At 39.3% G+C, this 26,275-nt stretch overlaps 1 long non-coding RNA gene across 1 annotated transcript in view, besides 1 other annotated feature; it reads left to right on the top strand.

Moving 5' to 3' along the window:
* Nucleotides 1–26,275, top strand: part of STXBP5-AS1 (STXBP5 antisense RNA 1) — a 363,227-nt gene that overhangs the window by 127,608 nt on the left and 209,344 nt on the right. Inside the window, exon 5 of the long non-coding RNA NR_034115.1 lies at nucleotides 2,160–2,202. This is a non-coding gene — a long non-coding RNA (STXBP5 antisense RNA 1). The remainder of the gene's footprint in view (nucleotides 1–2,159; nucleotides 2,203–26,275) is intronic.
* Nucleotides 23,179–23,843: an enhancer, noted in NCBI's record as "OCT4-NANOG hESC enhancer chr6:147374300-147374964 (GRCh37/hg19 assembly coordinates)". NCBI's record gives its function as "activates a minimal SCP1, AML or CMV promoter by ChIP-STARR-seq in naive and primed H9 embryonic stem cells {active_cell/tissue: H9 hESC(naive and primed)}" and the evidence as "EXISTENCE:reporter gene assay evidence [ECO:0000049][PMID:30033119]".

Below are 26,275 nucleotides of genomic sequence, written 5' to 3'. Positions count from 1 at the left end.
TACTAATGTTGTTTTTCAGTCATGCTTTTGGAATCTGACTCCCTGGATTGAAATCTCAGTTCCATTTCTTACTAAGAAAACCCAAGACACAGAATACAGTGAATATACCAGTGAGGTAGACAGCTTTTTCTCTCTCATGAGAAAGAGAAAGCTTAGGTATCTCAACTTTTAGTAGTCAAAACTTTTGCACATTTTTTTTTGGGCGGGGGGCCGTAATTTGGGATGCCCAAATGGTGTTCCAGCTGCCATTCATTAAAAATGTATTCAATGCTTTTCAGTGTTTGGTGGGCAGGAAGATCTTGAAGAAGCTTATGATTTAGATTGGGTTTATGAAATGGATTCATCCAATAAGCATGGATTGAGGGCTGCTTCGTGCCTGACCAGGCACTTTGGCTCAGACATAAAGATTATAGGTGTATTAGTCCGTTCTCATGCTGCTATGAAGAAATACCCAAGACTGGGTAATTTATAAAGAAAAGAGGTTTAATTGACTCAGGGTTCCACATGGCTGGGGTAGCCTCAGGAAACTTACAATAATAACAGAAGGCACCTCTTCACAGGGTGGCAGGAGAGAGAATGAGTACAAGCAGGGGAAATGCCCGATGCTTATAAAACCATCAGATCTTGTGAGACACAGTATCACAAGAACAGCATCGGGGGAAACCACCCTGACGATCAGATTACCTCCACCTGGTCCCACCCTTGACATGTGGGGACTATAGTTCAAGATGAGATTTTGTGGGGATGCAGCTAAACCATATCAATAGGACTATCCCTATTCAAAAAGCTGCTTGCTCACATTTGAGACACATTCTCTGCTGATTTCCCTCCTTCAGTGCCACCCTTTCTTTGCTGTATTTGTATGAACTTACTAGGTGGTCTCAGCTCTAAACCCTGACTACTGAAGCTACACTATTTTCACATTATGTCTTCCCTTAATCTTCAGAATGACACAACCAACCACCATGTGCTGTGATGCTATATTATACATTTACTTAGTAGCCTAGTTTCTTCCCTCATCTGGAATCTAAGGGCCGTGATGGCAGAGGTTGCCTGTTCACCTCTGCATGCTACCTAGGATATGCTATGCATCAAAGATGAACTCTCAGTAAAAAGTTTATTAATGAAAGAATCCCTTTGTCTAGAGCTTTCCAGTGTACAGTGAGATACTGTGCTGTAACCTTTCCATATTTACTCCCCATTTCCTGGCTAACTTCTTTTACTGTGGCAACTGTCATGCCCAGTGCTTCTCCAGGGTGTTCTGGGAATGAGACCAAATGTGCAGTATGTGCACCAAGATGGCAGATTTTTAGAGACTTTCTTTGACCTGTGGGTCAGAAACTTGGGTGTGTGAAATTCTGTAGGGAGTTGTGCTTCCTCAGAAGGTTTCACTGTTCAACTTACAAAATTCTTTGCACTCAGAAATGGAGTCTTCGTGTCATGCCATCTGGTTTCAGTGCTGGATTGTGAAGTGTGGGCTTCCAGATGGATGCTCTGTGCCTGGATGCTGACCTGAGAGTGCAGCAGGGAGGGCTCTGGGGAGGAGAGGTGGACCTTGATGGATTTTTTTCTTCTATGCTCTGTCCTAAGCAGATCTTCTTTTTGATTTTGGTTGTGTTTTGCTTTCCCATCGTTTTCTTCTTTATAAATGTTTAGGAATAATTTTTTGTCGGGATTTCATGAAATAAAATCTTCCATTCCAATTTTTATTCTCAAGTTTTCCTGGTTCATAGATAAGACAGCCTTGCAGAGTACAGGAAGTGAGAAATAAGCATTTGGGGAAAAATAACAGTGAACCTCCTATGATAAAATCCTCTTTTCCTCTGAATTTAATCTTCTATTAGATACAAAAATAGTTTTCAGATGGCATGTCCCTTCTATGATATTGATTACTAACATCTACGTGTGCATATTATGGGCTAGTCACTTCTAAATGTGTTAAAACATATTATCCCAGTTAATTTTCACAATAATTCTAGGAGGCAGGTTTTATTATCCCCATTTTAGAGGTGGGGAAACTATAGAGACACCAAGAGATTAAGTGCCTTCCCAAGGTTAGCTAGGTAGTAAATGGATTTGGTGGTTCTAGATCTGTGTTCTCAGAAAGTAAAGTGTGCTATGATTTCTATAGAGCTAACTGATGTTTTTATGGATTTTAGGTGAAATGTTGGTGCCAAATGAACTTTTCTGGTTCTTCTGAATGTAAGTACATATTTTGTGCAAAACATTATTTAAAAGCCTCTTAAAAATTGCTCCCCTGCTTCCAGTTAAGACAAAATTTCCTAACCTGACAGTTGAAGTGTTACTCATTAAAAGCCATTTTGCCTTTCTTAAAATTGTATTACTTTTCCAGTCAATTTTGTCTCCTTTATTTAAAAAAGTTAATGGAAGAATGTTAAATAATACAATGTATTGGAAACAATTAAAAATTTCATAATACTGGTACTTATACTTTCTAAATGTGGCATTATTTGTAATGATCAAAATAGCAAGTATGATTTGAAGATATAATTTATGCAAAATACTCTTTATATGTGAAGCTATTCAATGTCATTTTTAAAAATGAATTAATATTTATTTCAATGTAATTCTGCCTTAGTGAATTTCTTAAGCACCTGCTCTGCACTAAGTGTTAGGTTTAGAGCTCTCAGGATATTAAATAATCTATAACATGGTCCAAGCTCTGAATGAGCTTAAAGTCTTATTAGACAAAAATATTATGGGAAATTATAAATTACAAGTTTGTAATGAAAAACAACAAAGCAATTAAACTACAAAAATGAAGTAAAGAAGTTTTCCTTGTTTATACTCATTTATACTCTCAAATTCTTTCAGAAAAGGATTTCAAACACTTTGGATCAATTATGCTATTTTTCATATCTCCTTCTATATTTTTTACTCATTCATCTGTTCGTTCATTCAATATTTATTGAACAAATATGTGTAGAAGATGGCCATAGATTCTTTCAAGGAATCTTGACATTCTGTGGAATAGAGTTTGATAGCCATTTTGATAGATAATAAAGATATTTAGCATTTAGAATATCAAACAAAATGATGGCTTCTGCTTTCATTAAATAATTTTAGGCTGGTGTCATAGATAAAATTGGTTTAAATCAATCTGTTTTATAGAGGACCTCTTAGTTTAGAAACTAAATTAGGCATTTGGCGTTTAAAAATACTAAGGTGCTTTTCTTGAAATCAATGAAGGGGAAAAAGGAACAATCCACAGTTGATTATAATGCAACAATGAGTGCAAAAAATAGAAGTGAGCAAAAGGTGCCATGGGGGACAGGGAGCACAGAGAGCGTGTAAAACAGCTCAGAGAGGTCAGGAGAGGTTTCTGGGCAGATGAAACCTTAAAGAAGAGTGAGAATAGAAAGAGACAGAATTCCAAGTTCCTGAACTGAAGGGGAGTGTGCCTTATTTAGTCTGTGTGTGTGTGTGTGTGTGTGTGTGTGTAGGTGTGTGTGTGTGTGTTTGAGAGAGAGAGAGACAGACACCCCCCACACACAGGGGGGTGGTGGAGGAGAGAGAGAAAGAGAATGTATTTTGAGGGAGTTGTTACAAGAAATTATTTATATTGAAGATTTAGATTGAGTTCCTCATTTTACAAAAACTGAAAATTGTTTAAGTCACTCTTTCTTAGTTCTTCCAAGGATGGTGCATACCTGAATATCCTAGATGCCAAGGAGAGAACTTAATTAATATGCAATGGATGCCCTAGAGTAGTATGAGGACTTAATTCTCTGAGGAACTCCAGGTGAGCAAGGGCCTAAGATGAATGAAGGTGATTGTTAAATGTGACTCTTTGGTATAAAGTTTTTGAATTAAAATTACTTTTACTTTTGTTTTTATTTTTATATTTTTTCTTATTAATGTTTATTCTGAGGATTTCGGAATATTGTTTTTGAGTTGATTGCACCCCCCGTCTCCATCTCTTTTTTCCCTCTTTCCCTCTTTTTACTTTAGAAGAGTCCTCCAAAGAATTGGCCAATTAGAACTTTCTTCCCTTGCATGGGCCCAGAGTTTTTGTCCGAGGCCTTAATTAGTATAAAATTCTATACTGTTGTGCCAATTTCCATCCTCTGCATTAGATTTAAGAAAAATTTTCATAGCCAGAATCAAAGTTCTGGTCTCTGTCATGGTAAAAATGAAGTATAAATTGGCCCCAGAGAGGTGATTTTTAAGCTCATTTGAGAAAGGAGACTTTCTTTTCAAAGTGACTGATTGTCCAAGGTACACTTCTGTAACAATTTTCTAGGCCTGCAGAGTAAAGGAAGCTTTTTCTTTCTCCCTTCTTTTCTTTTTATTTTTCTTTTTGTAAAGGTTAATGTCTTCAAATGTCTTCCAAACAATGTGCTTTGTGTCTCTTTTTACATTTTTGCAGTTCTGGTTCACTTCTTACTTTGCTGGAGAGAGAGTTAGTGAGTGTCTCGCATAAATAAGTCACTTCTTTTGAGGGCAGTTGAGATGCAGCTTCTGCCCTTCAACTCTGCTATCATGCTTTCTGTCAATCAGAAGTCTTCCTTAGAGAAAGCTTCCAGCTCTTTGTGTCAGGGGCTTCCTGGCACAGGTTAGGAGTAAGTAGTGCTGGTCCACAAAGTTTGGCCTACACGTTGGCATCGTTTTCCTTACAGTTCTGTGTACAGGCCAAGAAATAAAGCTCTTGTGACTTCCTTTTAATTGTGCCATACTGATATAAAGAGAAAAGATTCACTCTTTTAGAGAGATGCCTGTTTCTTCATCTAAGCCTTGAATATAAATTTTCCACAAAACATGCCACTATCTAGGGAACTAGAGCCCTATGATTTGTTTGAAATTTGGTTAAAGATACCAAATTTCAGACCCTGAAGAGACAGCATGGTCATCCAAGCAGGATGGTCAGTTTGATCAAAATCAGGAACAATCATGACATATTTCCAGGACTCTTGTTACATGGATCAGACCACATATACCTCTAATACCATTCAACTGCACATGTTTGTTTAAGAAAAGAAGCAAAAAAGAGGAAGAAGACTTTTGCCAGTTGAGTAAAGCCACTGTTAGAATAGTGACTACGGTTTTCTTAATGATAGAGAAGCAAATGACTTGCTCACATGAAGAAACCGTTGGTCCATTATTAGATGGGGAAGGCTGAGTTCAATGGATTCATCATAGAAATGCTTACACTCCAATGTACAAGCAGTCTGGTTTTATGGGCCTCCTACATGGGTTGTAGGCCTGGCTAAATACAAAATGAAATCCCCTTGTGTTTATTCCCTTGTGTTTATCTCAACAGTTTCTGTGGCCACCATTGCTTTTAGATAAATCTCATTATGTGCTCCGAGCTTCTAAATGAAAAGTTCCTTTCTGCCAGCATACTGAATAAACAGTACTCCTGCTTCTGGAATCCTTGTGAGTTATTCTGTGCATCAAACAGCTGCATCAACTTTATCAGAAATGAGTTTGTTCCTGGGCTGGTATTTCTCAGTGAAGGCCATGTTTAGCATGGCCTTCGTTTTGATAAGCAATGCAGAAAGCTTCATAAAAGCACAACTTCCCCAAGTCTTCTTTCTTTCTAAAGCATGTAAGTTAGATGCTGATTTTCCAAATATTTATAATAGTAAATTATATGCATTTCCCTTTTTGAAATTTTACGCTGCATAACTGTTACCATTAGAAGGACCAATCCTTATTTTGGATCTCACTTTCTTTCAAGTCATCAGGAGTTCCATATAGAAATTGAAATGAGAATCAAGGCTCTTGCTATTAGATTAATTATTCTGAGACCCATTAAATTCTTCCTTTAATGCATTGGCTTAAAATACTGAAATTACAAACTAAAGGTAATGCTATGTTTTGGCTGTGACTCCACTCAAATCTCATCTTGAATTGTAGTTCCTATAATCCCCACGTGTCATGGGAGGGACCCTGTGGGAGGTAGTTGAATCATGGGGGCAGTTTCCCCCATGCTGTTCTCGTGATAGTGAGTGAGTTCTCAGGAGATCTGATTTTTATTTATTTTATTTTATTTTATTTCAAACACAGTCTCACTCTGTCGCCCAGGCTGGAGTGCTCCGCCTCCCAGGTTCACGCCATTCTCCCGCCTCAACTCCCGAGTAGCTGGGACTACAGGCGCCCGCCACCACACCCTGATAATTTTTTTTTGTGTGTGTTTTTTGTTTGTTTTTTGTTTTTTTAGTAGAAATGGGGTTTCACCGTGTTAGCCAGGATGGTCTCGATTTCCTGACCTTGTGATGCACCTACCTTGGCCTCCCAAAGTGCTGGGATTACAGGCTTAGCCATCGCGCCTGGCCAATCTGATGGTTTTATAAGGGACTTTTCCCCCTTTGCTCGGCACTTCTCCTTCCATGTGAAGAAGGACGTATTTGCTTCTCCTTCTGCCATGATTGTAAGTTTCCTGAGGCCTCCCCAGCCCTGCAGAACTGTAAATCAATTGAACCTCTTTTCTTTGTAAATTACCCCATCTCAGGTATGTCTTTATTAGCAATGTGAAAATGGACTAATACAGGTAAATTATTGTGATTTTATTTATAATAACTAGAAGCTATATATTTTTCTTTTTGTGGTTTAAAAAAATATATACAGCCCTGTGGTTCAATCAGAAGCCTGTTACTTTTACATTTCCAAATTTATAATTTACTACACTTACGTGACTCCAGCGAGCATTTATAAGCAGCAAAGCTCTTGTACTTAAAAGCACTGAATCATTTTTATCCACAAAAGAACCCTATTAGGGATGTAATGAGATTTTGAAAATTAAAAAAAAAAAGCTCAAGCCATTGACTTATAATGGTTCGCAAAACAGATCACATTAGATGAAAGATGCTTGAATCTTACTTTTCAGTTTCTAGGTTATTATTTGTTCTTCCAGATTTCAGGAGGCAAAGCGAGTGAGAAGACAGGCAGGAAAGGGACACAGGGAGCTTCTGCAGAGATGACAACTCCTCTCCTCTAAAGGGCACTGTCATTCCCAAGGGCACCACCAATCCCAAGGCTTCAGTCCCTATGAGACTATGGCTGCTTTTGTGGCATCCATGGGTGAAAACCTGGCCTCAGCTGGCATGGAGGCTCTCAGTCAACAGCTGCTATACCTCCTCTTTTTAGCCGTGCAGCCTAAACTCACCAGGCAATTTTCATGCTTTGGTTCAAGTGCACAAATCAGTGTTTGAAAGCATATCAGAACCTTGACCTCTTGCACTCTCATTCGGGTCACTCATGATTTTCAGTGGCTGAAACGATGCAGGATATTTCTCGGCTACTGTGCCAACTGGGGACCTTCATGGCCAGTGATGCATGCCTGCCTGGGCCTCACTTGGCCCTGGGCCTGCCACTGGAGGCACCCCACCCACTTGGCCCACCTATGTTACAGATTGTACCCGTGTTTGGTGGTTCCTGAGCTCTTGTCCCACATCCAAGAAGACTGAGGTTATGCAGACAATTAGAAGGATGAGAATGAGTGGAGAAGAATTTTATTGAGCAACAGAATAGCTCTCAGCAGAGAGGGGATGCAGGGTGGTTTTTCTCTCTGTGTGGCTGGGTCCAGGGCTTTTTATGGATTCAGAATGGAGAGTATGTGCTGATTGGCTTGTGAGTATGCAAAGAAAGGCTAAAGCAAAGGCACCACTCAAAGATGGGCATGGCAGTGTAGAAAACCAATTAGAAAAGGGTAGGTATATGTAAAATAGCTGAAGAGTGGGGTTCAATCAGAGGAAAGTGTGCCAAACGGGAAGACAATTTTTTAATCTGGTCCGTGGATTTGACTTGTAGCTTGCCTTTCAGGCTTTACACTGTCTTCAGCTTGGAGGTGGAATTTCACTAGGGACCTGCCCCTATCTGCCTAGGCATTTGTCTGCCTCCTGCTGCTATCTATACTTGATGGATGGCTATTGATGAAAAAAAGATCAAGAGTTTGGTGGAGGTATTGACGAAAAAAAAAACTATTGATTAAAAAATGATCAAGAGTTTGGTGGCTAAGCATTTTCACATTCAAAGAGTGACTGAGAAGTCTATCCTGATTTTCTTTTCTTCCTTTCTTATATTCTCACTCAGTTCAGAGAATCTGTGAGTACTGTATAATTCTCTTTAGGATTTGTTTTAGGAAAAAGGCCAAAAATATTGGGATTGAGGTGAGCTTGTAATTGGCGCAAAATATTCTATGCCCATGCAATCTGCCCTCTGCTTTTGTAGTAAAGAAGATAGTAAATAAAAATGATGACTTCCTGAATACTGATATCATGCATTATCCTATATATTTGCTCTGCATTATCTCTTCGTTCTTGCAAGACTCCTATGATAGCAGCTGCTATTATTATCCCCATTTTAGAGATGAGAAGATGAAGCTTAAGAGAGGTTAAGTAACTTGCTTAGTATCACAGAGCTAGCACATAGTTCTCTTAGGGAAGAAAAAAGCCTATTTTGTTTGGGAAGTTTCACATTAGTATATTTTCTGATTTCATTTTTATTTTGATACTTTCATGAATGTAAACTAGACCATCAATGAATATCGGTCTAGAAGAATCTGAAACTGGACAACAGCATTTGGTCAGTGGACAACTAAATACACCTGCTTGAGATATGATGTTACAAAAACACATCTGTGTCCAGGAAAGCCCAATTAATTAGTCAATAATGATTGAGACACTGGGCATTTCCTAAGGGAGTATTAACCAGCTGGGAGGAGTTAATGGACCAAAGCATGCTACAGGTCATTAACTACAGCAGTAATTATTCCTGGAAAATATCTTATTTTGAAGTTAATTCTCTGGCTTGAATATGCATATTTAAAACAGTTTGATTCTTCTTATACTGCATGGACTGAAGAGGCTATAATAAGGGAAAGTCTATTAGAGGCACTGATTGTAGTTTTGTAAAGCAAAATATGAAAAAATTATGTATGCGTAAAAAGGGAAACGTAGATGAGTACTTCAGATTCCATTTTATTTTTATATAAACTGGAATTTATGTATCCTCTCTTTTTTTCCCCACCACTTTGGGAAACATAATACCCTAGAAATAAGATCAAATAAGTCTGATTTACCTGTGGAGTGGCAAAGCAGTGCTACCCAAAAAGTATACAATCAGGAGAATAAGGACCAAGGGTGAGGTGGGGCAGGGGAGAGGGGAAATAAAGAGGGAATTGAAAATGTCAGAGTTTCAAAGTAAGTCAGCAGAAGGAATTGGCAAAAGGGAAGAAGTTAAGGGAAAAGAAGGAGAAGTATAGGTGACCTCACAGACTGTTCTAGTCACTTGATATTTTTTCTCCTTTCTCATTTGTAAGCCCCTTACACAGTTTCTATCTTCAATACCTGTTGGTTTCAGGTTTTTCACAGAATCTGTCATCATCCCTTCCACTCTCTTCAAATACCCTGACCCACTCCCCATCACCAGGAACTTCATTTCCATTTCCAATGGAGCCAAGGTTTGAGCACCCCAGGCAGGCTGCTGGTTTGGAACATTTCAAACCAATGTTGTTTAGATTGAGGGTCCCCAAGCCCTGGGCCATGGACTGGTACTGGTCTGTGGCCTGTTAGGAACCAGACCACACAGCAGGAGGTGAGTGGAGGTTGAGCAAACATTACCGCTTGCGCTCCGCCTCCTATCAGATCAGCTGCGGCATTAGATTCTCATAGCAGCACAAACTCTATTGTGAAATGCACATGGAGGGATCTAGGTTGCACAATCCTTATGAGAATCTAATGCTTGATGACCTAAGGTGGAACAGTTTCATCCCAAAACCATCCCCCTACCCAGTCCGTGGGAAAATTGTCTTCCATGAAACAGGTCCCTGGTGCCAAAAAGGTTGGGGACTACTGGCTTGGATAATTATTAAAGGGAAAGGAGGGACGGATCAACCTTTCTTCCATTATTTTAAGCAATTCAGCTATGGCCCCAGACATGCACACTGCATTCTGCAAAGCAACAGCTCTGCAGATCAGCAGAGCCTCCCCTCCCCTTGTACAAAGAGGTGTAGTAACCGTTTTTTGTTATTACTGTACTAATGCCTCTTATCCCTACCACTCATCAAAAACTCATCTTTGAAACAGTTACCAGAGTTAATTTTCTAAAATAAGAATTTGATCGTGTTATGGTAGGCAAATGAAATAGCATGTTTAAAGCTGGGGGTATATTAAAATAAAAACACATTTTTGGGTAACCTCAAGTAGTTGTTCATGGCTGGATATTGGGTTTGCAGATGAGACCAGAAAGGCACTGGGGGAACTATGGGCCTTCTTGGCAGAGGGAAGAGTGTTTCACTTTTCTCCACCTCAAGAAGGAATTGAATTTGCCTTCCTACCATGTAGAATACTGCAGTTTCCCTGTGAGAAGTTCTAGTAAAACTAATTTTCTCTAGTGACATGCTAATACCTCGTAGAGATTGGTCCCCTGAGAAGCTTTAAGCTGGCTTTCTTTATAATTTTACTAACCAGGAGGGAACTCCCTCATCTTCCATTGTCTCTTTTTTTTGTTTTCAACTCAATTTCCAACTCATCTCTCTTCTTCTCTCTCATACACAAAAAGTCGATTCTAATTTGTCACCTATGCTCTTAATTTCATCCTTTTCTATATCCTCCAGAACTGTGAGTGATCAATTATAACCTCTCTTTATACAAACACTGTTTATAGTCTGTAAACAGGCTCATTTTTCAAAATGAAAAACAATCTTATTCTTTTGAGCTTGTGCCCCCATAGCCATAATCTTATCTATCTTCTTGTAAAGCCACAGTTTTGGTAACAATAATAATTCATAATGATTATTAAATATTGGCTATGTATCAAGCACTTTAACCTCTATCATTTTATTTTATAGACATTTGTCATAATAGTCATTTGTAATTAGTGTAGTTTCTATTTTACCCATGGAGAAACTGCCACCTGGAAAGGTTAATTAGGCTTCACAGAAAACAGGTGTCTGAACTAGGATTTAGAGCCAGATTTGTCTGAATCTAAAGCCTTTCAAACAATAGCAGTATAGTTTCCCGACAAGCCTATGTTTGTTCTTTGCACTTCCGTATTTTCCAGAACCTGAGAGGAGAGTGACATCATCTAGTCGCCAATCCCATGGCCACTCTCCAGTCTTTATTGGTCTTAATTATTCTGCAGCACGTGGCATCCTGAAGCACTGTTTTCTCGTGGTTTCCACAACACCATTGTGTTCTGGTTATTTCTTATTTTAACCAGTTCTTCTGTCTTCTTTGCTGGCAAGTTTTACTTCTCCTGTCCCATGCATGGTAGCGTTCCTTGGGTTCCAGCTTTGACAAGGATTTCATCTGCTCTCACAGTGCCAACTCCAGCATCCAGAACTGTGGCACCAACTTAGACCTTTCACCTGAATTTCAGCATATTCTTTCTAGCTGCCTACAAGATTCTTGGCTGGGCACAGTGGCTCACGCCTCTAATCCCAGCACTTTGGGAGGCTGAGGCGGGCATATCACGAGGTCAAGAGATTGAGGCAATCCTGGCCAACATGGTGAAACCTGTCTCTATTAAAAATACAAAAACTAGCTGGCCGTGGTGGCACGTGCCTGTAGTCCCAGCTACTTGGGAGGCTGAGGCAGGAGAATCGCTTGAACCTGGGAGGTGGAGGTTGCAGTGAGCCGAGATAGAGATTGTACCACTGCACTCCAGCCGGGCGATGGAGGGAGACTCCATCTCAAAAAAAAAAAAAAAAAAGAAAAAGAAAAAGAAAAGAAAAGAAAAGAAAAGAAAAGAAAAAAGATTCTTACACGTGGACATTTCACACAGAAACTGAAACTGAAAATGCAACAGCTAGGAGGTTGAACCCATTATCTTCTTCCCAGAACTGCCTTTTTCTTTTTTTTGGTGAATGGAAATAGCATCCTCCTCTTACTACATTTCGAGCTCTGTTGGCTTCCTAGACTCCTTCTTGGTCTCCGCAACTAACAAATATGTTCCATATCTTTGCTATTTTTTTTCTGTATCCATTTCCTTACTATATGTTTCATATCTACGAATTTTACACCCTCCTCTGTACTTTTTCAGACTTTTGTCATCTTTCTCCTGATCCATTGTTGTGGTCTTCCTCCAGAATCCTGTACCCCTTATCCCTACCACCCATCAAAAACTCACCTTTGAATCAGTTACAGAATTAATCTTCAAAAATAAGAATTTGATCATATTATGGTAGGGAAAATAAATAGCATGTTTAAAGCTGTGGGTGTATTATAATCAAGACACATTTTGGGGTAACCTCAGGGAGTTGTCTATGGCTGGATATTGGGTTCTGCAGATGAGGCCAGAAAGGCACTGGGGGAATGGATCAAGACGTCTCCGACACCACTCTCTAAATAGGGGGTCAGCAAATGTTTCCTTTTTTTTTTTTTTTTTCTGAGACAGAGTCTCGTGCTGTCACCAGGCTGGAATGCAGTGGTGCGATCTCAGCTCACTGCAACCTCCGCCTCCCAGGTTCAAGTGATTCTCCTGCCTCAGCCTCCCGAGTAGCTGGGACTACAGGCACTCGCCACCGTGCCCAGGTAATTTTTGTATTTTTAGTAGAGATGGAGTTTCACCATGTTGGCCAGGATGGTCTCAATCTCTTAACCTCGTGATCCGCCTGCCTAGGGCTCCCAAAGTGTTGGGATTACAGGCATGAGCCACCACGCCCGGCCAGCAAATGTTTCCTTTTAAGTGGGGCTTTGTGGGCCATGTACAATTTCTGTCCCATCTTATCTTATTTTCTCCATCCTTTAAGATGTGAGGAGCATTCTTAGCTGCACACCTTGCACAAACAGGTCATGGGCTAGATTTGGCCAGTAGGCCTTAGTTTACTAACTCCTGCTCTAGAGATTGGATATCATCTGTGGTGGTTAGCAGGCAATGAATGGTTTTCGGCAGGGAGTGCACCAATCAGAAGGGAACTGAACTTTCAGGTGAGACAGAGTGACACAAGGCCCTGCTCTATTTGGAACACTTTACTTTTCCTCTAAAGTGGTGATAGTGGAAGCCATGGGGTGGTGACCCCTCTGGCATCTTCAGCTCCCAGCACTTTCTCCAGCCAACCCAACCCACAAGGGAAGGGAACTGGACACTGTCTTAGTATAGATGAAGAAGTTGTTGATGCTGGGAAGTTCAGGGAATGCTTCCCAGTGGCAATGAGTCATTTAGTAGAAACTTATGAGAACAAGAGTTAAGAAGTTATACAAAAGGCAGAAGTGATGGTAGTTGCAAAGGTTCACAGGCACTAATGACCATGACTTGTCACTTTGGACTGATTTATTTTTAGCCACTTGAAACACCTAAGGAGATACTTAGTAGAATGCACCATACTGGGATATTTTCCTGTTGGCACTGAGAGAGATCAATGAGGAATCTGTCCTCACTATCTTTGGGTGAGCATGCTATTACACACTTCATTGGAATGCACTTGCTTTTTCCTAGAGTGTGGAACTCTCAATGTTAGTATTGTAAAAGGCAAAGTAATGTCCTTGAGCTATAACAATGAATACCTTGAGCTGTAACAATGAATGAAAGCAGAGGTTCTCACACTCTGCTTTCATTGAATGGGGTCTCGGTAGATGTATGTTGAGTGAATAACACATACATTCTGGAGTGGATGCTCATGGTAGATCTTGGTGTTCAGAATGCCTTGGCAGTTTGTCGCTGGGCTATATGGATTTATTCTTCTCTAAGTTGATTCTAGTGAGTTTGAAACGTCTTGTGATGCCACTAGGGAACCATATTTACAAAACTCATATTCAGTGTAGCCTTCTACCACTTTTGGTGGTTACCTTAATGAACGTTTCTAATATACATATGTTATATATAGAAATTCATGCTCTATTGCTCTTATTTATATACTATCATAAAAAGATGAACTTTAAATTCTATACTGAGAATTTCTCTAAATTTTATGTGTATTTCCTTAGGGGATGCAAAATAAAATTCTGTTTTGGGGTGTTCTGAATATGCTGGATTATCTCTATTATGTTTTATTTATTTAAATTTTTTAGAGGTAGAGTTTTGCTGTGTTGCCCAGGCTGGTCTTAAACTCTTGGCCTCAAGTGATCCTCCTGCCTCAGCCTCCTGAGTAGTTGAGACTATTAGCACATGCTACCATGCCTGGCTTATTATTTTTTATTGAGTCATAATTTATAAACCACAAAATACGTTTATGGAGTGGTTTTCCTTCAACTGATTCCTGGCAGAGTATTATTATCATATTTTTCATTTGTACTGACTTTTGTCATTTATAAACCATTTTACCCACATGGTCTCATCTGACCTTGCCGCAGGTACTGTTTCATGAATCTTACATGCCATAGCTTATAAATGCACCTTTAAAAATGTACCACTATGAAAGCAAAAAATAATTCTACTTAACCATGACAAAATACTTTGAGTCACTTATAAAATTTATTTTATGCCTCTTATAAATGTGCTTTGAATCTTCCCTTCAGCCATAGATGAATTCCCTAATTATTCCATGTGACTTATGACTTGAAGTGCCTCAAATAGGTGCATTATTATAGCAAATAGGTAAAAGAACTAGGTAATAGATCAAGGAAATTTACCTTGTTGCTACATCCCACATTAAATTCCTGAGTTCTCAGTCTGGAGGCTTCCATACCCAGGTTCAGCAGAGAGATGGCTTGAAACAGAGACTATGCATATAGCTAGGAAGAACTCTGGAGGTGGTGACAGAGACATTACCAAGTTCTCACCTTAGCAATTCCTTAGCTTTATACTTCTGGAATACCAGGGCAGCCCTAAGCAGCAACTTGGTCCCAAACACTGATGTGGAGTATTGAAAGCAACCATGCATGGTGATATGCACCTCAATTTCAGTTGCTAATATGGAAAGAGATGTGCATCTAATAACCACCAAGGGTATTTTATTACCATTATGTAAATGAGGAAATCTAGTTGCAGGGGTTTACTAGTAGCTGGAAGAGGCAGTACCAGGAATTACGGTTGGTCTTTCCAAGGTAAATTCTATGCTCATTAGTCTCTGCCATAACTTCCTCATATGTTCAGGCTATTGATCTGAAAGGTAAATTCAGTTTTCAAAGAGAAGACCAATAAAATTTGCTTGGATCTTTTGGAAATTCCTTGCTTTCTTTTTCCCGTAAATCACTCCTCAAGAAATTCTAACCTATAAGACTCAGCTTAAAACACTCAAATGGATGAGGACATGGAAAGTCATTTTCTTTGAGCCTTTTCACATCTTTCAAAACTTACTTGAACCAATGCTGTGTGCATGTGATGATACCATCCCACAGCTAAAAACAGTCTATTTCAGTGCTGCCTGAAATTGACAGAAAATGAAATAAAATCCCATATAATGACAACCATTTAAAAGTCTCTGTCCTCTAGGAATCAAAGGACTCAGCAGCATGTCACAGAGGAGGACTGAATCACAAATGAAGTAGATTTAGAGGTACCTCTTTAAAGTAATGATGAAGCACTGATTTTTCTAATGTGTCCCCCAGCACCGGTGATAGTAAGTCACTTCTAATTACCTTTTCCTTTCTGGGCTATATATAGATAAATGCTTGGGATATTAAAATGCCTTGTGGGCTGGTTATTTAATTGCTACAGAATTGATTTCATGAAGGAAGGAAAAACAGATTAGATCCTAAGATGTAAATGTGAGACTTGACAGACTGCAGTGTGTGCTCAAGTCTATCAATAGAACTGCCAGCCCCCAGTCTCTAGCTGGCTATGATGGATCCTTGCAGCACAAGAGGAACACATTTGACAATTACAAGAGCAAATGCAACTGTCCTCCCCTCCAAAATAACAAGCAATGGTGCATTTTTGTGTTCTCATTTCTCATGCCATCTAGTGTATTATATACATTATCAAAATAATTTTAAATTAGAATGGCTTCCCTGTTTGCTTATGAAGCCTTCATGCTTCCCTTTTGCTCTTTTTTCTTTGTTTATTCTTTACTTCAATATCACAGGTGGTGGTGGTATGCTCTATTTTGGACACTAGAGAAGTAGGTTTCGTATTTTTTCTGTGTCTCATGACTACAAACTAGGAAACACATAAAATACATTTTCTCTGATCTTGCTTCAGAGAAATCTTGCCATTTCAGATGAGATACCCACATAACAGAAAACATCAGGCTTAATATTACTTTAAAATTCATTTACCTAACATTTATTTGTTTAGCAAATGTCAGCTTAGTATTTACATTGTGTCAGGCACTGCTGTGTGTGCTGTGGATTCAGTGATGCATAAGACAAAGTCCTTGCTCTCACTTTCCCTCCTCTCTAAATGGGAAACACACCAAGAGCAGAAATGTAACAGATTCCCCTCAACTTATGATGGGGCAATGTCCCAATAACCCATTGTAAGTTGAAATGTAAGTAAAAATGCATTTAATGCTTGGGCAAAATCATCTAACACAAAACCTATTTTATTATAAAATATTGAATATCTCATGTGATTTATTGAATACTCTACTGAAAGTGAAAAACAGTATGGCTGCATGAGTACCTGATGTACAATTTCTACTGAATGTGTAAGGCTTTCAACTCCATTGTAAAGTCGAAAAATCTGAAGTCAAGCCGTAGTAAGTCAGAGGCAGTCTGCATTAGGTCATGACAAGAGCAATTAAGGTATATTTTATTAATATATTTTCAGGTATATTTTTCTTTATTGCAATTATGAAGGTAGGGTAGCATATTAATCTTCTTGAACTGCCATAACAAAATATCATAAACCGAGTGGCTTAAACAACAGAAATTTATTTATCCCCATTCTGCAGGCTAAGAATTCCAAGATCAAGGTGCTGGCAAGGTGGGTTTCATTCTAAGGTTTCTTCTTTTGGCTTGTAGTTGGCTGCCTTTTCTCTACATTTTCTGAGAAACCGTTTTTTGTGTGCTTCCAGAGAGACAGAGAAAGAGGGAGAGAGCTCTCTAGTGTCTCTGCTTATAAGGACATTAATTCTGGCCGGGCGCGATGGCTCACGCCTGTAATCCCAGCACTTTGGGAGGCCGAGGCGGGTGGATCACTAGGTCAGGAGATCGAGACCATCCTGGCTCACATGGTGAAACCCCATCTGTATTAAAAGTACAAAAAAATTAGCTGGACGTGGTGGCGGGCGCCTGTAGTCCCAGCTACTTGGGAGGCTGAGGCAGTAGAATGGCGTGAACCTGGGAGGCGGAGCTTGCAGTGAGCCGAGACCGCGCCACTGCACTCCAGCCTGGGTGACAGAGCAAAACTCCATCTCAAAAAAAAAAAAAAAAAAAAAAAATATTTTAAAAAACACCTGCATATGCTCATATTGTTATGGAGACAGGGTCTTGCTATGTTGCCCAGGCCAGTTTTGAACTCCTGGTTTCAAATGATCCTCTTGCTTCAGCCTCTCAAAGTGTTGGGATTACAGGCTTGAGCCACTGTGTTCTGCCTATCAACATGTGGAAAGCATGTGTGTAAATAGATAGCATAAAGGTAAACTTAGGCTATAAACCCTTTAACATTTCTGACAAAGTAAGGTCTGAATTAACGGCATTTTCCTTAATCAATTTCTTTGCAAAGTGTTGAGATATATGCTAGTCAACCAGCTATGTTCTTTACATCTGTGCAACACCTCATAACTACATACTCCAAAAGAATGAGGGAGACATTGTTTTTCCCCTTCTTTTTTAAGCTATAATAAAGTTCCACATTTTCTGCCTAAATGGAGGAAATTAGATGAGACTCTAAAGTGGAATTCACAGAGATGTGGGAAAGGTTTCTTACAATGCCTAAAAGATGGTTAAAGATTAGGGAGAATGACCTTGTAGGGAAAAGTTCAATGAGCACAGAAAAGTTCAATGATTCAGGAAGAGCAGTGTGGACAGAGCCCAGTGGCCTCCGAGGTCCTGCAGACAGCTTGGCAGAAGCTGATTAGATGATCTGGATTTAGGGTGATTTTCCAGGGCTAGGAAGGGAAATGTCCACCAGCCACCCATGAAAAACAGCTGGTGCCTAAACATATGGGAACATTTCTGGCCTAGTTTTTTTCATTGCCTGATGTGCTGGGCTTACAGTAATGTATTTCATAATACCCATGCACCTGGGATATTTTGGGTATTAGGCATGAGGGGGATGAAAAGGTTTCTAAAGTGACTCACTTCTTTTGCTTTGTAAATATTTCTTTGGAAGTTTAACCTTAATATTCATTCAAAAATTTGTAAATGATTACCAATGAACTGTATTTCTTATGGTTGATATTTAAATGCTCTCACTCTGTATTTAATTAACATCAGCTGGGCAGTTAGAATTGAAACAAAAAATCTGACTTCTTGATTTGTAGAAATTCAAATCCCATAGACAAAATTCCCATCTATCTCTATATAATGATGAGTGAAATATAAATATATTTACCAAGGGCAGCTATATTGTGAATGTGTTTTAAAAATTAAAAATATTCTAATTGGTGGCCTTTTCCCTATCAGGACTTTCTATTTTGGAGTTGAAATAGTAGGTGTTATTCAATGAAATAAATATGTAAGAAGATATATTAAATATTGAGTACTTTTCTCCCCTTCAAAAATTAGATACTGCTAATACTACAGCTATAAAGCTCATGGTAACCTTTGGATAAAATATTGGAATTACATGGTTAAATGCCAGTTCTTGTGCCCCTGTAGTCTAGGGCTGCCAAAGTCTAGGCTATGGAGTGAGATGGCCAGTTCTTGAAGAGAAAATGGGAGGAGTGGGGCTGGACTATGCTTTCAAAATTTCTCCTAAAAAACAATGGGATTGATATTTTTCTCCCTTGAGGGAGTGAAGAGGAGAAGAGAGGCCAGGAGTGCCCCATGAGGGCAGCACCGTCCATATGGAAAGAAATACTAAGGGTGGGCAGAAGCAACCTCTCCCAAGAGGAGGAAATCTTTCTGCCTGCAGTTTATGAATTGCACTTGGGCTGTGCTGAAGAGTAATGAAATTATGAGGTCATTCAGCCTTGGTGGTATTCAAAGAAAGACACAATCTAACAAATGGATTCCTAACATCAGGGATGCAGTGACTTCTCCTTGACAGAAGAATTACCTATGGAAGGCATCAAATTTTATGTCACAGAGGTTGAATCCTGATGAACAGGGAGGATACTCCAAGTACTGACAGTTTTGCCTGGAGGCCGTCATTCCAGCTTGCACAGACTTTGAATGCATCAGCTGTACCAGATGCATTTGTTTTTCGCTTGGTCATTAGATTTTATACTACTGCAGAGAAAAATAAAATAAAAATCATTTCAGAAGAAGCTTATTAGGCTGACATTTTTGTTATGAGTAGCCTACTTTTTACTAAATATGAATTTAAATCATTGTAAAAAAGAAGAAATATTCTGGTGACTTACTGTACAGGGCTAAAAGCCCTCTACTCTCCCTCTTTTTTTTTCTAAAGGAAAGTGAACATATTTAGTTTAGGAGATAACAGCTGCAATACATTAAAGATTGATATGTACCCTCCGTTTTTCACATTCATGACAGTGTTGATCAGGCCAGTTAGCTCAATTCTGAAGAATAGTTTTCCCCCTTATATTTACTATTCACATGCTTGTGTTCTCACCATAGGTTTTATTCTCATCTCATACAGCTGTCTTAGAGTGTGTCTCACTGGTCATAGGAGGATAAAAAAGGAGGAACAAGAAGGCATTATTGTGTAATAGAAAAGCATGAGACTTGGAGTTAGTTGAGAAAGGAAAGAGAAATGGACAGGTGCCCCCACACTATGCCAAGCATCTTCCCATCATTTATCTTATTTAAAAGCATGTGAGTCTTATAGGCAGGGGTTGCTACCATTGAGGCTAAGAGGTCTCCACTGAATTGCTCTGGGCCACAGTAGGTATCAGGATCCAAATCCACCTTAATCAGCTTCTAGAGTCAGGGCTTGTTCCACCTGCCACAGTGCGTCTCAGGGGCTGAGTTCTGTTTAGCAAGCCTATGAGCATTTCTATAAAGTAGGAATAAGTACCAACATCAGATTACTCTTGTTAAAATAGTATATCACGATATATGTGTTGTGCTTTGTAAACTCTAAAATGCCAAACAATGGAGATGATGTATTGTGGATGTATTATTGAAAATTTAGCATGCATGACTCTTTTTTTTTTTTTTTTTTTTTTTTTTTTTTTTTTGAGACAGAGTCTTGCTCTGTCACCCAGGCTGGAGTGCAGTGGTGCAATCTCGGCTCACCGCAACCTCTGCCTCCCGGGTTCAAGTGATTCTCCTGCCTCAGCCTCCTGACTATCTGGGACTACAGACACGTGCCACCACACCCAGCTATTTTTTTTTTTTTTTTTTTTTTAGTAGAGACGGGGTTTCACCATGTTGGACAGGCTGGTCTTAAACTGGGGAAGGTAACTTAAAATACTTATGCCTCCAATGTGGTATAGTTCACTAGAGCCATCTTCATAACAAAAACAGAAAATCATAATTAAGACGCATATTATTGCCGATAGCAATTTGTGCATAGAAAGCTAGAATCACTAAGAGGAGAACCTCTGAAGCAACTATGATGCTTCCAATTGACTTGAAAACCATTGTGTACACAAGTATGGTTTTCATAGGTGGAACACGTGGCCACAGCATAGGAAAATATTAGTATGATTAAAATGTAGCAAGAGCAGAGAAATGTCAGTGGGTGGTGTTAAATATAAGATTTTTTTCTAGGTACTGTCAGGGAAAATCTTGTGCTTGCTACTTTCCTAAAAAGAAAGAGGAGAGTAAGTGGGGGAAAACACACACATACTTTTACCCTTCAAAGACGTATCCCTTCATTCATACATAGTAATCAGACACCACCGACTATTTCTGGCTCACAATCATTTGCAAATTGCCTGGCTACCACTCACCTTGTTTCATCCTTGCCTACACATTCGTCAGCCATCAGAACCACCTACAACGGCTTCCACTCAGAATAGCATGGTTACTAACAAATCCCCTCAAAGGGAAAATGAATGTGTGCAGTTGGGTGACACCCTTCCTTTTTCCTTCTTCTTCCCCGTGGCTGGGGCCCACTTGGCACTAAGCGTCCTTCTGTCCAGATGGTGCACTCTTTTCTGCTCCTGCTTTATCACATTCTCTGCCAAAGCACCAAGTGCCAGTTTTCCGGTGAGAATCTGCTTGCAGAAAGTTAGCTGCCTAGGTTATGTCACCGCCTTTGTAGTTTACTGGGGTTACAGTGAGACAATGGCTAGGAACAGAGAAGAGAAAGGAGGTAGGCAGAGATGGAGTTTGTACAAAAAAGAAAATTACTAGAGAAATAGAATGCATTCACTCACTTGTGTGAACTTTATTAAGTTATTTTGACTCTCTGGACTTCAGTTGTCTCATCTCTAAAATGAAGGAGTTGAACTGGATGATATCTATTGCCTCTCACCTCTTAACATTCTACAGGCTTGTGGCTATTTAGCTTATATTGCTTCAGATGATGCATAGGAGTGAGCTCTATTGTGCTGAAAACCTTTTACATGAAAGTGATGACTGTATTATGGCCAGCCGGCAATTTGGGGGAGGAATAAATAAGTTTCAGATAACTGTGGGTGGTAGCTTCTTTATAGCAAAACTAGGTCTGCCTGATGAAACATTTCAGTGAGGTCCTAATTTCAGACTGTCGTGTTCTTCAATGTGGAGAAGGGTTTTCTACGCAGGTGCAGGTTTCTTGTGATGTAGATAATTAGTCTGGTGTTGCTGATGCAGGAAAGGATGATTTACTGGGTTTTTACTGTAATTTTGGTTTCAGGGACATAGTGGTAAACAATTTCGAGCCTAATAGCCATACAGCAGGCTGTGCGGTGGCTCACACCAGCAGACTACAGGCAGTCTTTCCACTAGAGTGCCAGATTATGGCTACCTGCCTTTCAAATATTTTTGCTGAGGTGGAGACCATTCTGAAAGGCTTTTAGAGGGGTCTGACTTCACCCTGTTTCCTACTGTGGCCATCAGAGAGCTGTGAGATCACTACTCAGGAGCTCTGGACAGTTTCTGGAGCTGTCCAGGATTCCAAGATTCCAGGGAAAAGTCTCCAGCATTTTTATAGGACTCCGGGCTCTCACTCAACTCCATGCTCTGCTGTGTGGCTATAAATGTTTCTTTGTAGATTCTGTTATATACTATGTAGAAATAAAGAAGAATGCTTGAGGTAAAAAAGAATACTGCTGTTTCGATATTGAGCTTTCACACATCTGAATTATGAGTCATTCCTACATCAATATGTTCTAATAACTATTTTGAATATGTAATAACTACATATTATGTGATATCCCCACCTTTGTTTCCTATTAAAGTTTCTGCTTGGGGGGTATGGGTAGAACTTGACAGAAAAACAGGGTTTTTTTTTCTTTTTAAGTATGCTGGGGTTCTGCATACAATTATGTATTAAAATGGGTGGTGGTCTTTTGTTTCCTATACTTTTCATTTGAAACATATTTATTTTTCCTTGTGGCACATACCCTGGCGTGCACAAGAACAACTCAGATCACAAGAATTATATATAACCCAGAGCTGGGGAAATTTTAGTATTAAAAGTATATTAGTCTGCTCAGACTGCCACAACAAAATGCCATAGACTAGGTGGCTTAAATATCAGAAATTTGTTTTCTCACAGTTCTGGAGGCTCAAAGTCCAAGATCAGGGTTCTAGCCAATTCCGTTTCTGGTGAGGGCTCTCTTCCTGGCTTACATACAACTACCGCCTTCCTATGTCCTCATATGGCCTTTTCTCAGTGTATGCTTGTTGGGAGAGAGTGCACACTCTGGTGTCTCTTCTTATAATGATGCTAATCCTATTACATCAGGGCCCTACCCTTATGGCTTCATTTAACCTCGATGACTTCCTTTGAGGCCCCATCTTCAAATACAGTCATGCTGGGGGTTAAAGCTTGAATATATAAATTTTGGTGGGATGCAAACATTCAGTTCATAACAAGAAGTACACTTCTCAGGGGAAGTAGCGTAGGGTTGAAGATGGCGCAGTTTAGTGGCTAAAGAGTATGGTCTTTGGAGTCAGTTACATCCTAGTTTGATTTCTTGTTTTACCACTTACTGTGTGATCTTGGGTGAATTCATTCACTAAATATTGTTTTAGTATCTACTGGGTGTTATTTGAGGAGTTGGTATAGAGTTGTAAATATGACAAAAGTAACAATACTGTTCATGGAAATCCTTAGAAGAGTAGATGGAGCATGGGAAGTATTCAGCAAATTCTAGTTTCCAAAATTTTTCAGTTAGTTCAGTCCTAGTAGAAATAGGTTCTATTTTGTTTACAATCCCTTGGATTTCCCAGGAATTGAGTCAACTCCCAGTGGGACTATGCTTTAGCAAACATTGTACAGTTTCTACAAGGAGAGTGGTTATCCCTGAGGTGTATGCCTGTACTTGTGTATATGAGAAGGCATGTGTTCAGGTGGGGAGAAGGAAGGCTGGTCACAGATGGCAGGGACAATAGAGCTGGATGTAAGCAGATACTAAAAAGCCCCATTGTGCGCTGACTGATGGGGCTTAGTCATTACAGATTGTGCTATAGGAGAATTTGTTCCCTGATGGTCTCTTGAAGTCACCCATTGTCTCTGAAATTCTTTCAGGTGAAAGGTGAGCCACAGGAGGTTCTTCTGTTGGAGATTCTGCCTGGATTTTCCCAGTCTATCTTAGGGAGCCTCTCCAATTCTAAGGTCATGTAGATTTCTTTTCCCGCCTCAATCAACAGATGCATATGCTCATGTGCACACACTTGTGTGGACTTATTCGAATATGTACACATACACACACATACTTTTAAAAGCTTACGATAGAGGTTTTTTAGGTATAAGAGCATTGAGGGTATAAATATTACAATCAACTTTGTTTTCTGCTAAGGGAAAGAAATGATTCAGCAGCATCCTCTTGCTGTTTAGAATCACAGATAACATCTTTTAATTCTTTATTGATTTTAAAATTAATTTGTTATCATAACAATCTAAAGGTGTCTTAAAAGCTGTCCTCTAGAATCTAATAATACCTCAAGTACAACCACTGACTTAGAGTTTTCTCAATCACTTGAAGGTTTTCTAACCTCCAAAATTAATTCTGGTGGCATCAGAATGCTGTAGAAAGGACATCGGGCTGAGGGAGATGGGAGGAATTGGAGGGACTCTAGTCCTCCATCTGCCCCAAGCCAGGAAGGACCTTGAGAAAGTCACCAACAGATTCCCTTAGAAGCAGACTCTAGTCTTCCAGTTTAATTAATCTCCCTGGGACTTAATATTCCTATTTGCAAAATGAAGGTGTTAGAGTAGATGAGCTCAAATGCTCTTTCCAGTTGATCCTTAAAAGTGGCCAGACTGAAATGTCACAGACATTATGCTTTATGTGCATTATCAAATTTGATTTCCTCATGACACTTGTCACTCACATTATCCTCATTTTGCAGACAAGGAAACCAAAGCCTAGAGAAGTTAAGAAATTTGCCCTGAGATCCTATGGCAAGTAAGTGATAGTCTTCCTCAGACTGCATTCATAACCATTACGTGATCTTGTTCAATAAACTAAAGTAGCCCTTGTTTGTCCAGACCTGAGCTTGGCTGTAAGAGGACGCGATTAAACATAAGACAATTTTCTGCATTCTTGTGTATCCAAGTCAGATTTGGGAAACAGAAAAGAAACAAACATACAAAAAGCATACTTGAAAGTGATTAGGTTTTTAACTGCTGTCTAAACAATAATTTGGCAAAGGAAGAGAGAAATTTGGGCTTGAAGTCTTCAACATGGGTATGGGATTAGCGGGTGGTCTTCAACCATGGGTAGGATTTGAATAAACAAGGGATTTACAGGAGAGTGCTACAGAATGTGAACATAACAAGAGAAAAGGTGAGACAGAAGTTGTGTCTAGTACAGATAGTAGCTGGGCTTTCTGTGAGTTGTGGAGGTCTGTGTTATGAAATTAACTTGGAAAGATATAGGGCTGGTCTAGGGATGAGATGGTGGGAATCTAGGGAGATCATTCCAAGTGACAACTAAAGGACAAAAGTAGATTTAGGGACAGTTAAGTTATAGGGGATGCAAGAAAAGGAAATGTCAAAGATGACTCAAGATTTTTTCACTGGATTTCTAAGAAATGTTAATATTGCCATACTGCTGTGTGTAAGACATAAGAAAGGATTTTTGGGTGAAGAAAAAGCAGGAAGATAGATAGAACTTTCTGGGAGCTGGAACTTACAGTGGAAAGAGACATAGAAGAATGGGAATATTTTATATTCTTATTTAGAGGAGTGTGTGTGTGTTGTGTGTGTGTATGTTGCTTCTGTCTTTCCAAAACTTTTGTAAAGTCTGCTTTACATACAAAGGATTTTGGAATGCTCCTTTTTGTTTCTTTTATTTTTGTTTTTGGTGGAAATCAAGGAAAGGGGCTATATTACTCATATGGTAGATTGATATTGTGCAGAACAGGAACAGTTTGTGGAGATACTGAGTTAATTTAGCTAGGTTTTGGAGCCAGATGGAGCATGAGAACCTACCCTTCCCAAACCAAATACACATCCCTACCTCACCCCTGCCCCTCTTAAAGTTTGCATTAGACTCTCAATAGGATATGGAATGGGAATTAGTTCAATTTTACCAAGACCTAAGGAAAAGGATGAAGCACTCAGCTGATGAATGTGTTAGATATGGAACTGTAATCAAGAAAAGTAGACAGCAAAGCCATATCTATGAAAAGCAATCTAAATGAAGTAAAACAGTTCTAATCCTATGAGATCCATTCATAGCATGATTATTAATAAGTTGGTTTATTTAAATGATCTTTTATGTCCCTTTAAACAAAGCCTTTGGAACTTTAAAAAGTAAAGAAGCTAGGATAAGCTCAAGGTTTTCTAATGCATATTCTGCCAGGTTTTCAGGGAAGTATATATTTGGCAGTCGACATTTATTGAGTACCAGTTACAATTAAGGCATTACACTTTGTCTTGTGGGAATATACAAAAGAATCATGTCTCTGCCTTTGCAATCTAGGGTTTACTTCACACGTGGTGATCCTTTTCTATTGACAGAGAAGGTATTAACTTGGAATTTTATGTTTTGAAAGGAAGTTAGATGACTATACTACTCTTTCCAAGTCTGCAATGCTTTTTTTTTTTTTAAACAAGAGATATTCCAGCAGCATCCTTTGTCCTCTGTTTCTAACTTGAATCTCAGCAAATGTTGAGGACATTCTAGAAAAATCAGAGCTAGTAGTGCTTATAGTGATTAGAACTTGAGTGTGTGTGTGTGTGTGTGTGTGTGTGTGTGTGTGTGTGTATTGGGGAGAAAGAAGGAGAGGAAGGAGGGGCATAAAAATTAGTATAG

Source organism: Homo sapiens, chromosome 6 (assembly GCF_000001405.40).
Source record: "Homo sapiens chromosome 6, GRCh38.p14 Primary Assembly".
Lineage (NCBI taxonomy): Eukaryota > Metazoa > Chordata > Mammalia > Primates > Hominidae > Homo > Homo sapiens.
This window is presented reverse-complemented; position numbering and strand designations above follow the sequence as displayed.